General features: G+C 41.5%; 3 annotated features.

Annotated features, from left to right (window-relative positions):
• Positions 4,555–5,056: an enhancer, noted in NCBI's record as "OCT4 hESC enhancer chr9:1515455-1515956 (GRCh37/hg19 assembly coordinates)". NCBI's record gives its function as "activates a minimal SCP1, AML or CMV promoter by ChIP-STARR-seq in naive H9 embryonic stem cells {active_cell/tissue: H9 hESC(naive)}" and the evidence as "EXISTENCE:reporter gene assay evidence [ECO:0000049][PMID:30033119]".
• Positions 11,655–11,704: an enhancer, noted in NCBI's record as "active region_28124". NCBI's record gives its function as "activates an Ori minimal core promoter by ATAC-STARR-seq in GM12878 lymphoblastoid cells {active_cell/tissue: GM12878}" and the evidence as "EXISTENCE:reporter gene assay evidence [ECO:0000049][PMID:35858748]".
• Positions 11,785–11,854: an enhancer, noted in NCBI's record as "active region_28125". NCBI's record gives its function as "activates an Ori minimal core promoter by ATAC-STARR-seq in GM12878 lymphoblastoid cells {active_cell/tissue: GM12878}" and the evidence as "EXISTENCE:reporter gene assay evidence [ECO:0000049][PMID:35858748]".

Below are 12,113 nucleotides of genomic sequence, written 5' to 3' on the forward strand. Positions count from 1 at the left end.
GTGACTCACCTAGCCCAGCAGGTAGGACTGGCATATGTTATGAGGGTAGAGGGAGAATGACAGTTGTCTGGGCTGAAAAAATTGCATTCTCTTGGATAATTTGAACTTAGACATTGTGGAAAGTCACAGGTGGGTTTCAGAGATTCTGGAAGCAGACATAGGAAGACAACAGGCCAGGTTACTGGTAGAACATCAGCTTCCAAACTCTAGAAGTCAGGCTGCCCGAACTTCACAACATCCCTCCAGCCTCCAGTTCCCTTTCCTAACAACTTTGGTGATGCCTCATTTCTCATTCTGGCATCCAGGAAGTCTATATCCTTACAACACCTAGAAGTTTGCTTTAACTCGATTGACTGAAGTTTTATGCTTTCAACTAATAAATCCTTGGTATTAAAACAACTAAAACCACATATTGGGTCTTAGGCTTCTAGGGATTGACAATATGTGGTTCCTGCTCACATTTTAGCACTGAAAATTTTTAAAAAGTAATTTATGCTATTTATTTTGATAAACGCTATAATTGAAATAAATTTAAAACAATACAAGCAAAACAAGGAAATGGCTAAATATATCAGTGAGTTTTCTGTGAAGTTAGTGAGCTTAAGGGTCAGGGTCTCTCACTTGCTCAGAACCCTTCCTAAGCCCTGAAGGGAACCAGGTGGTTGTGTTTATATACATTTTGCAAAAATAAGGTATTTTTACTGCAATTAATATCCATAGTCTTTTTAAATTTTTATTTATTTTTTTTGAGATGGAGTCTATCTCTGTTCAGGCTGGAGTGCAGTGGTGTGATCTCAGCTCACTGCAACCTTCGCCTCCTGGGTTTAAGCGATTCTCCTGCCTCAGCCTCTGAGTGGCTGGGACTATAGGCACCCGCCACCATGCCCGGCTAATTTTTTGTATTTTTAGTAGAGATGGGGTTATTTGTCCTTTGGGTTCTGCAAAACCAGGATCTGCTCCTTCTGGGGAGTTTAGTAATGACTTCAGAGAGGAGGTGACTTTGAGCCAAGTCTTGAAGGATGAGAATTTTTCTCAGGTGGACAGGGCAGACAAGCTAGGATAGGCAGTAAGAACTGTGTGTCAGGGCATGGCAATGTGAATCAATCTTGATTTTTTGGGGAACAGACAATAGTTTGAAGCTAGAGCTAAGCGGGTGTTGGCAGGGAGTGGATAGCACTGGAGTTGGTGAAGAAGGAATTCGGGGAAATGGGTGGAAGCCAGTCATGCAGACTCATGTATGCCATGCTTAAGATCTTGGATTTATCATGTGGGTGATGGGAGCTGGGAGAAAGGGATGATGGCACGAAGGAATCCTAGGTAGCTTTCATAGATGGAGACTCCCTGCACACCCCAAATGTTTCTAGCTCTAGAGATGTTCAACAAGATCAGGAAGCCTGCAAGCTTTTACAGATGCAGTAACATCGAGAAGGTGAGAACATGGTAATAGAGAGAGAAGAAAGCAGTAACATACATTTGGAGAGAAAGGTAACACAGTGGGTGAGAATAAAAAGTAAATTGAATTATTGTAAAAAGTGCACAGTTGAAAAGGTTGAAAGCCATTTCCAAAATGTCGGGGAGGAAGCCTAGAAGAGAGGTGGAGAATGAGAAAGATATTTTCATCAGCTTCTACTTAAAGCAGTCATTCCCATAGTGTCTCCACTGAGAAAAAGATGAGACACAGTCCAGAAGAAACAGCAGTTGGTTGGAATTTTCCCAGGAGTCTCCACACATGCTTGTGTAAAAGTGCATGCCTTAAGTGCTGCTTAGTTTAGATCAGGGGTATGAAGTCCAAAGTGGCAGGGAGGGGCCCTTTCTAAATGCCCACCTCCTCATGAGCTATGACTCCCCAGCCACTAATCCCACACTTTTTCAAGAAATGCAACATAACTCATAGCCAGTCAGCTCTGGGATTTCAGCATGTGGCTTTGCATGCCCATAACCCTAGTATCTTGATGACAGTTGCCCTATCACTTCTGCTCCATAATTCTTATCTGGGCATGAGAAGTTTTTACATTGCATTTGAGGCTAAGACTTCAGCAGCAGTAAGTTAAATCCAAGAAATAAGCATGCAAGATTGTACGTGTGTTTCTATAAAGCTGTTGTGTCAAACAGACATCCATTAGGTGGTTGCCCCAGATGTGGCCACTGGTAGATTTCACACATTAGGGAGCTGTTTTTTGACCTATGTTTGTCAAATCCATGGCTCTGGTGAGACATACATGGAGCCAAGACAGAGGCTCATGACTTCAAACCCCTACATCAAGAAGAGTTTTCCCTATGGGTGCTCTGTGGTCTGCATGCAGAAGCATGCATTCAACTTCATTGTTAACAAAGGTCCTTCCAAATGGGCGTCGGTCACTTTCTGCTTCCTGTATCTGATATCATCTGAAAACAGCAAGTCTGGGCAGAGGGTAACCACCAAATAGGTAAGAATTAGAGCATATTGTCTTTGCCTCCACCTCCACCTCCATAGTCTCACAGTATCAACTCCATGCATTTTAGCAAAAAGAAAAGACATGAGTCAGGAATAAGGTGTGATTCAACTGACATTTGTGTTAGCTTAATGAATCTAACATTTCTTGGGCTCTTATAAGGCTGTTATAAAGCCATTAAAGCCCAAATTTCCTTTCCCACTTTTCAGAGCAAGGAGGCCAACTTAATGCCTTGTGAGCCAGAGAATATAGGCTAAGGTTTTCTCTTCTACATCTTTGGTCCTTCAATGGAGTGCCAGTAACGGCTCCCCAAGCCCATGTCCAGACAAACTTCCATCAGGACCCGAAAACCAGGGATGAAGCCAGGGTATTTAACCCATTTATGCCAGAGGCTGCAGTTTTCTGAATTGCAGATGTGTGAAAAATCAGACCTTGGCAATGACCTTGAGCAGTAAGATACAAATAACTCCCACATGCTTAGTGTTCCAATAATAGAACATTAAGCATAAATGAGTGTGATTAAGATCTTTATGGATGGATGCATTACCACTCTCATGAGCTTCCTGTCCAGGAGGGCCTTTAGTGCCTCAAGTCAACTTGGTATGAACTCTGAAGTCCTTCCCACCCCTACAAGCCACCCCTCAGGGTGAACTGAGATCAGCCAGTGGGGAACAGTGGTCAAAAGGAATTGTCCTGGGGGTTGGTTAGCAAGCAGGAGAGCAAAAGGTGAGAAGAAAACCATGTACAGGGTTTTGACACCTCTAGCTGAAGAAGGTGAGGCATAGAGGTGTCTTACCATTAGGGGATGTATCCGAGTCACAGCACCAAAGTATGTTAGCAGTGGCGAATCTGTACAGGTCTGCCGAAAACTCGATTCTTGCCTCAGAAGAAACACTTTGGCCCAGGGACATAAGGCAGAGTGAGAGACTGAGGCAAGTTTTAGAGCAAGAGTGAAAGTTTATTAAAAGGTTTTAGAGCAGGAGTGAGAGGAAGTATACTTGGAAGAGAGCCAAGCAGGCGACTTGGGAGGTCCAAGTGCTGTATCTGACCCTTGGCTTGGAGTTTTAGATATTGGCATGGTTCTGGGGTTTGCATCTCTTCTCCCTTAATTTTTCCTTGGGCTGGGCTGTTTGCATGCACAGTGGCCTGCCAGCACTTGGGAGGGGCCACATGTGCAGTGTGTTCACTGAAGTTGTGCACATGCTCATTTGAGGTGTTTTTCTTTGCAGTCGGGTGTTCCCAGAGGAAGGTCACATACCAGTTAAACACCACCATGTTGCCTCTTAGTGTGCATGCTTGAGCCCGCTCCCTCACTCTTGAGATCTTATGGGGAAGCTGAGATCACCAGTTTCAGGTGTTTTCTGTCTATTGGGTAACTCCTTTTCCCTGGTGCTGGCTGCGAGCAATTATTATTTTAAAGAGTTTAACACCTGCCTGACCATCATCTGATGGTCACCTGACATTCCTGGGCAGGGTGGTGGGTGTAGAATGGGGATGGTGGTGGGGAGTGGAGGGGGTGGTAAGGGATGACAGGGGGCCTCTCCTCCCCTGCTTATGTCTGCCTACCCACTCTAACACTGACATTATGACAGGACTCCACTGCACCAGTACAATATACACAGCCGATGCCAATTATGACTGAACTTCACAGACAACAAGTCAAATCTCACTTTGTGTGCCTCTTTTAAATTATTCCCTTTTTAGTAGAACATTGCCACTTTTACTCATCACTTTCCCCATTACCCCAAGGTTAAGTAGAGCCTGATGTTGAGCACATGGACCCTGGAACCAGACTAGCTGCATTCTAATTCTGATTCCTTTACTTATTTCCTGTGTGACCCTAGGCAGGCGAGTTACTTGACCTCTTTGTTCCTTCACCTATAAAGGGAGTATGATGAATAGTAGAGAAGACTATAGCCTGCTAACTTCCTCATTCCCAACATACAGAAGAAAAACAGGTTAGGGAGAATTGTTTTTAAAATTGAATTAATTTATATAAAGAAACCACTCCATACCTGGCACATAAGTATTCAAAATGTTACTGAAACTGTTAGCAGGAAATGAAGAAGTCCCCGGTATCTAACTTCGGAGAAAGATTTCGGCCAAGAGATGGTTCAAAGACAGTGGAGACCTTTATAATAGGAAATAGGGAGCAAAGAGCTTATTATAGGGGGAAAAATAAGTACACTTCAAGGGAAGAGTGGGCTGATCCTGTGGGAAAACAGCTCTGAGGGTCTTGAACTGTGAGTTTTATTTATCATGTCAGATTCCTTCTTCAGGTTCCCACTTCTGTCTCATCTGCCTTTTTTCTTTGTTTAGTTTCTGTTTCTGCCTTAGATCCCCACCTTTGTCCTCACCTAGTTTCCTCCCAGGCTTGTGGGACCCTTCCTTACTGCTGAGTAATGCGCATATGTGCGCCAGGAATCAATACAAATCTTGCCTAATGGCGGCATTGCTCATTACTGCCACTCCAGGAAGGCTGTATAGCAGTCAAATCTATATTTCTTGCAACTGTGTATCTCTTAGGAATTTCCTCTTTGTACTAATATATGCTTATGATGCTGGTGTATCTCTTAGGAATTTCCCTTTTTACCCTCTTTCCTTATCAGTATGTACCTTGTGACATCCTGACATTTTAACTGCAGAGTATTGGGGAACTTAAGAGGCATTCTAGGGCCTTCCTTTCTGCCTAGGCACCTCTTCTTCCTACTCACAGTTGACTAACTGCTCACCCACTCCAGCATTAGCGATGCTATTAATATGCAAATTTTGGGTGGTCCCTCAGGCTTGAGACTTCCCAGACTTTTCCCTTCTGCTCATATCTGGCTTTCTGCCTATTGTGACATAACCACTGGCTTTTTCAAAATCTGAACTTACCTTCCCATTTCTTTGGAGGGAGTTGTGGAAGGAGTGGGGGCAATGGAGTCACAGATTTATTTTACCACTTGCTAGATCATGACTTTGGTTAAGTTACTCCCACTAGTGGATTACTTTTCTTTCCATAAGACGTTCATATTAACAACGCTATGTGCCACACAGTAAATATTCAATACATATTTTTTTCTTTCTTCCTGTTTGATTCACAGACCTCTTAAGACAAAGAGATAATCCATATGAACTTCTTATTGAAAAAGGAATCTCTTTTCCATGTTTTCTAAGAAAAAAATGGGTAATGGTGAAAGCTTTTAGCTAAGAAAAAGTATTGAATGAGGATAAAGGCCCCAAAGATCTGCTTTGCTCCTGATAGCAAGATAAATATGGAGGAGGGGTTGATGTGCAGTTAACTAAGGGTAACATAGTGAGCTCTGGAATTTTTCCTTTTGAGCCTAGAATTTAGAAGTATGCCACTTTATTCGGCTCTCTTCTTTGTAAAACGCTGTAGGGTACCAGGAGGAGATGGGACTAAACAAGAGATCAGAGACATAGTCCCTTTTTACAGAGTCAACAAACATCTAGTGTAGTATACTGCCATAGAAACTCCCAATAAGATGAAGATATATAGTGGCCAAGTGATACGGTTTTGCTGTGTCCCCACCCAAATCTCATCTTCAACTGTAGTCCCCATAATCCCCACGTGTTATGGGAAGGGCCTGGAGGGAAGTAGTTGAATCACTGGGGGTAGTTACCTTCTGCCATGATTATAAGTTTCCTGAGGCCTCTCCAGCCATGCTGAATGGTGAGTCAATTAAACCTTTTTCCTTTATAAATTACCCAGTCTCAGGAATGTCTTTATTAGCACTGTGAGAACAGACTAATACACCAAGATAAGAAGGAAAAGGGAGAAATATATGACCATATACAGAGAACTCATGAAGTCTAATCAGAGGCCACATGAGCCTATTCATTTTATCAGGGTATAAAATGCATAAAAAGGACTATGCCTATTTAACTCCAGGGAAAGAATCAACAAAGACTTAATTAGAAGACATATTCCCCAAAGCAAGGAATAGTTAGACAATTATAATACTTGTTTACTTATGTGATAAGTTATATATGAAGCCAAGTACCATAGCATTCAGCATAATTTCATAAAATTCAAACTGTATTGCTAATTAAAAAGATGAACAACCATAAGCATAAATGACCAATTAATTTATAGGGTCTCTTTTTTGCTGGAGGATAACTCAAAATCCAGAAACCTAATTATTGGTAGCAAACATTGCAACAGAGACATAAGCAAAGTTCTGGGACATTGATAAAGGATGTTTAGGGTAGACCTGTAGCCTGAAGCTCCTTCCTCCCTCATTAAGTTGAGAGCTCGCTCCTCCGAATGTCACTTTGCAGTATCTGTGCTAGAGGGTGTGTCTATGAATAAATAACATAATTAATAACTTCTAAGAAGACAGGGAGTTATTAATTTTGCTCCTAACAATATGAGACTTCTCTGGGTCAATGTTTATTGTTCTTGATATCCCTTTGGTTTGGCTTTACTAAGCTACATACTAAAAGTGCAGAAACCAAATCTTTTCTAAATTCTGTTCCCTTAACATAAAATGCCTAGAAATGCACAGCCCCCTTTGGGCATTTTGCAAATGATTATCGGAGCCAGAGGGATTAAATTACACATAAGCATTCTGCTTATCTTATAGGAAATTATACTGATCTCATAACAGCTCTTAGCCCAAGGTATAACTTAAATTTTCTAGCATGGTGTGGACTCCAGAAACTGGCAATCCAAAGGATTAGGTGTAAATGAGACCAACGTAACATCTGGGAGTGGTGGCCATCTGGTTCAAAGAAAGTGAGACCAGTTAACTGGGCTGTGGAAAGTTGATTGGCTCCAGACTCTCTGTTCTTACTGTGCATCTCTGAGCTATTGGAATGCTAAGGCAACTTCCACAAAGCAAGCAAGCAAACAGCCACATGGAGTCCTGTAAGATGCTTGACAGCTTTTGACCATTAAGCCAAAAGGGCAGTGTATATAACCCAATGTCCCAGTTGTCTCATGGCCCATCAGCCATTGGTTGCTAAATCTCAAGTTCTATAATGGAAGAATAGGGAAGTTCATCAGTGATCCTGCAGACAAGGATAAATTCATCAAGGTAAGGCTATAAGATGAGAATGGTTGAAAACTTTGTGGTCATGAGAAAACCATATCTACCCCTGCCAAGATATCTTGACCCTCATTCTAAAAGCTACTTTGTTCTTTTACTCTGAGAAGTTTTATACTCCATCAGACTAAACACTTCTCCTTTTTTTGTTTATCATGGATATTATACTTCCCCCTGTTCTATTCTGAAATGGAAGTATGTTAGGTAATATAACGCCACCTACATTCATAGAAATCAGGGCAATACCCTAAATGTAAAATAAAAGAATAATATAAAGAAATTAATAAATTATTATTTATTTGAACATGCACATTTTGGGGTGTAAATAAACTCTATGACATAATTGTAACTATGCAAAGAACACTGATCTACAAGTGCAGATTGATACCCTCAGGTATCACAAGTGGAACTGCTATTGGTGATGCAACTTTTCTGAAATGATGAGCCATTCTTGGTAAATAACAACATAAAGATAATCTTCCCTTGATTTGAAGGTAGCTGCATTCCTAGAAAATTGAGCATATATTAAAACTAAGAAAAAATACTTGATGTTTATATTTTAAATGGAGTTAGGTTCTAGGCCTGTTTAATTTTAAACAGATGTTTCATCTATATGGATGCCTGGCAAGACATTCAGAAATTATGGAAGATGTGAAACAGTTCTTCTTTGGGAGGGATTATTCCATATATTATAAAAGAATTTGCATCTTTGACCACATCCACTAAATACCAGCAGGAGATTCCACCCTACAATTCCACAATCGTTGTGACAACCAAAAATTCTCTCCCAAATTTCCAAAACAACCTAGAATGTAGTTGCATTAGTTCAAGTGCTCAGAAAGCAAATGCTATGATGGGATTAGACATGTAAGAGATTTAAATCATGAGGGAAAATTGAGAGGGAGCAGGAGGATGCTGGGAATACTGTCTGACCTTGATGTAGGTCTGCCTCTTAAGAGGAAAGAGAAGGAAGGAAGGAAAGAAGCTCTTAGACTGTAGTGAAGGTCTATAAAAGTTTTCACAGAGTCAGCAGGAGACAAAGTTGCCTATCAGAAGAGTCTGAGTCCCACGTCTTTTAAGAGTGTGCCTGCCTTAGTTTTCCTGCCAAACTCAGTCATTGGGTGGAAACAGCCCACAGAGAGCATTATCTTGGCACAAATACAATGGTGGTTTTCAGAGGACAGACTCCTCCGGCAGGAGATCTGAGAGGTGCATTTTTATGGCCACCACCAGTGTTCCTCTTTTCTACCTATATAACTTTACCGGAATTTCAGCTCAAATTCCAGGCCTCATCTAAAATTGCCCTAAACAGGCTTCACATTCATAGGTTTAATGTGTAGTATCAACCAATTTTGAAAACCTAGGAGGTTCATGGTGGGTAATCATTGGAAATTTGACTGAGATTTGTTTTGAACTCCAAGAACTATGAGGCTGGCTTACATAAGTGAGGCATATGGCTAGTGACTGCCTTTAGCTGACTATTCATCCTCCATATCTCATGTTTCTTTGTGAACACAGCAACTATAGTATAAAAGTTTTTTTTTTAGCATAATTTTTCCCATAAAGAAACATGTTGCTGGTTCTGGTAATGGAAGTAAAAAGCAACTGAAGAGTTACAAAAAGGTGATTGTTCCTAGCCAGAAATAGGGTATATTGCATATGATTTTCATCCTATGCAGAGAAAATCACTGGAGTCTGGCAGTGCCATTTAAATTTTTGACTACATTTTATGAAAGTTTTATGTGATATATTTGGGAATTCAAGAAAGTCTTGGGACATAATTCTTAGGATATGAAGAGTCTTTTATACTGCTCAAGCTATATTGTATGCATCTTGTCTTTGCGCTGTAGATAGTGTGACTTCCCAAGAGTAGGAACTATTTTATTACTCCATAGCTCCTAGCATGGATCCTTTTCCAAATATACATTGCTCAATAACACCCCAAATTTTCAGATGCAAATGTAGGCCACACAATTAATGGGAAATAAATGGCAAAATGGCAAAATGAACTGTAGCAGCCAGGGTTGATACTGATTTCTGCTCCAGTTTCAACCTAAATGCCAATATGGAAGACACTCATTCCACCAAAAGTAAGTAGATTACAATCCTTCCCTCATCACTACAGTGATCTACTTACATCACTATAGCCACGCTTAGAGGCAATTGACAAGAGAGTGCTCAAAGAGGGAAAGAAAGTTTTCAGCTATGTGGTTGAAATGAGAAAGCACTTCCTGGATACAAATTCATTGTCACAAGGCATTTAGTAGATAGTGTTGGAGGAAAGTGACCACTTTTGAATAGAGTAGCTAGGATATGGGAGGGGGCGGGACAGGGAAATACTGGCTAGATAAAGGCAGGTCCCTGGCTCTAGGGCTCTACCCTCGGGCCTGTGCCCACAGACCTAGGTGTGGATAGGCACTCCTGCCTTTGTGCCCAAATGTTGCGTTTTCCAAAACCATTGGCCCACCACGTCCCATCCTGTGCCTATAAAAACCCCAAGACACTAGCAGGCAGTGACCACAAGCGGCCGGATGTCGAGAGGAGCACATCAGTGGAAGAACATACAACTGGCTGGACATTGAGAGGAGCATATTGGCTGGAGCATGCTGACAGGCACTGGCAGACTGGCAGGCCATCAACTGGTGGAACGATGCAGAGTTTGGCTGGGGCGGTCAGAGGAGAGCCCAGGCCACCAAGAGACCCGACTCCAGGGGAAAACCATCTCCCTTCTGGCTCCCCCATCTGCTGAGAGCTACTTCCACTCAAAAGCTTGCGCTCATTCTCCGAGGTCATGTGTGATCCGATTCTTCTGGTACACCAAGGCATACGGAAAGCCCTCTATCCTTGTGATAAGGCATGGGTTTAATTGAGCTAATACAAGCCACCTATGGACGACTAACCTAAAAGAGCACTCTGTAACACACGCCCACTGGGGCCTCAGGAACTATGAACATTCACCCCTGGGTACTGCTGTGGGGTCAGAGCCCCACAGCCTGCCCATCTGCATGTTTCCCCTTAGAGGTCTGAGCAGTGGGGCACTGAAGAAGTGAGCCACACCCCCATCATATGCCCTGTGCGAGAGATAAGGGAACCTTTCATGTTTCAGCTTGATCTTCCTTTTTAAAGAGAACTTGGAATTTTTGGAAATGCAGATTGGGAATCTGGGACCTTTATATGGGTAAGTGACCATCACCATGCAGGCTACTGTGGGGCATGGCAGCATAATGAATACACAAAAAAGGAGAAACAGGATCAGGATACAAGAGAAGTCCAATAGGGCCATTCTCTGAACTGCACCCTTTGGGGAGTTCACCTGGAGTTACAGGGATGAGAAACTGGAAATACACAGTCAGAATTCCGTTGCGCAATGCAGGTCGTAGGGCACAGTTGTGTTGAGGTCAATGTATGCTATTTTCATTTCATATAAAAAGTTGAATACTACTTCAGTTAAAGTATCCCTCCAGGTATTGCTGTAGAAAGGGGCAAAGCTGGTACTCCCATCTGACCATTGTGGTCAAGATGTTGCTTCTCAGATTCGGCAGATCCAAGCAAGGTGGGTCCCTTTAGCTAATGCTAAAACTTTAAAACATTAATAAATTTCATTTCTTTCTGGGTGGGCTATTTGTTACACCAATTTCAAAAGAAGCAGAAAAATCATCTTTTTTCCAAAATGATTCAGTAGGTCAGTACTAAGTGGTCAGGTTTTCTCTGAACTGTAATGTTTGCAATAAAAGGGGCTGTTTAAGTAAATTTTATAATTCTCACAGTACTTAATAATCTGCCCAATGCACCATTCAATTAAATACTTGATTATAATAAATGATAAGAAAAATAAATGAATGATGCTTTTGGACACCATCATTGTAAAATTTTCAGGCACTCTGGATTTCAATTTGTTTGACTCTGGGGTCCTCTTAAGCATGTTTTTGGCTCTGAGTTTTCAGTCATCAGCTGACATAATGAGGACATCATTTCAAAACTGAAAGAAGGCAAGCCAAAGAGTCTCTTCATTTTATAACCACATAATCATATTAACTCAAGAGGAAAAACATGTTATTGAAGAAAAAAATTCCTAAAAAATATTTTTAGATGCTCTTAATTCCATGATTTTCTGAATTGTTTTAGTTATACTGTATTATGGTTATAGCCTCATTGTTTTCCTTTTGTAAAGGGGGCAGAGTGATGTTAGCTTCTCACATGGTTCTCTATTTGTCCATACCTTGTTTCATTGTAAAGTGTGGTAAAAACATTTTAAAGTCAGTAGTGGTCAAATGCAAAATACTGTGTACTTACTATTTCAGAGTTCAATAGGTACTGCTTAATGATCTAGTTTCCCCTTCCAAAGACGGTAGCAACCACAAATTTGAGGCAGCTTGCTCCTTTTAGCTTCTCTGGACAAAGATACCTATTTACAAACTATGAAAGATCCCATTTCTGGTTATTTCTTCTTGTGTTTTGTTAGCTGTTTGCAGATCTCCCTTACTGTGATCAGTGTGAGCATCCCCAGGGCAGGGACTATGTCCTAGTCATTCATCTTTAGATCCCCTACGGCACATGACAGAGTGCCTGGCACAGTAAACGTCTTGAAGTCAATGAAACTGAAGGAGGACAACAAAGTCCTTGCCCTTTC

The sequence above is a fragment of the Homo sapiens genome, chromosome 9 (assembly GCF_000001405.40).
Source record: "Homo sapiens chromosome 9, GRCh38.p14 Primary Assembly".
In the NCBI taxonomy this organism is placed as follows: Eukaryota; Metazoa; Chordata; class Mammalia; order Primates; family Hominidae; genus Homo; species Homo sapiens.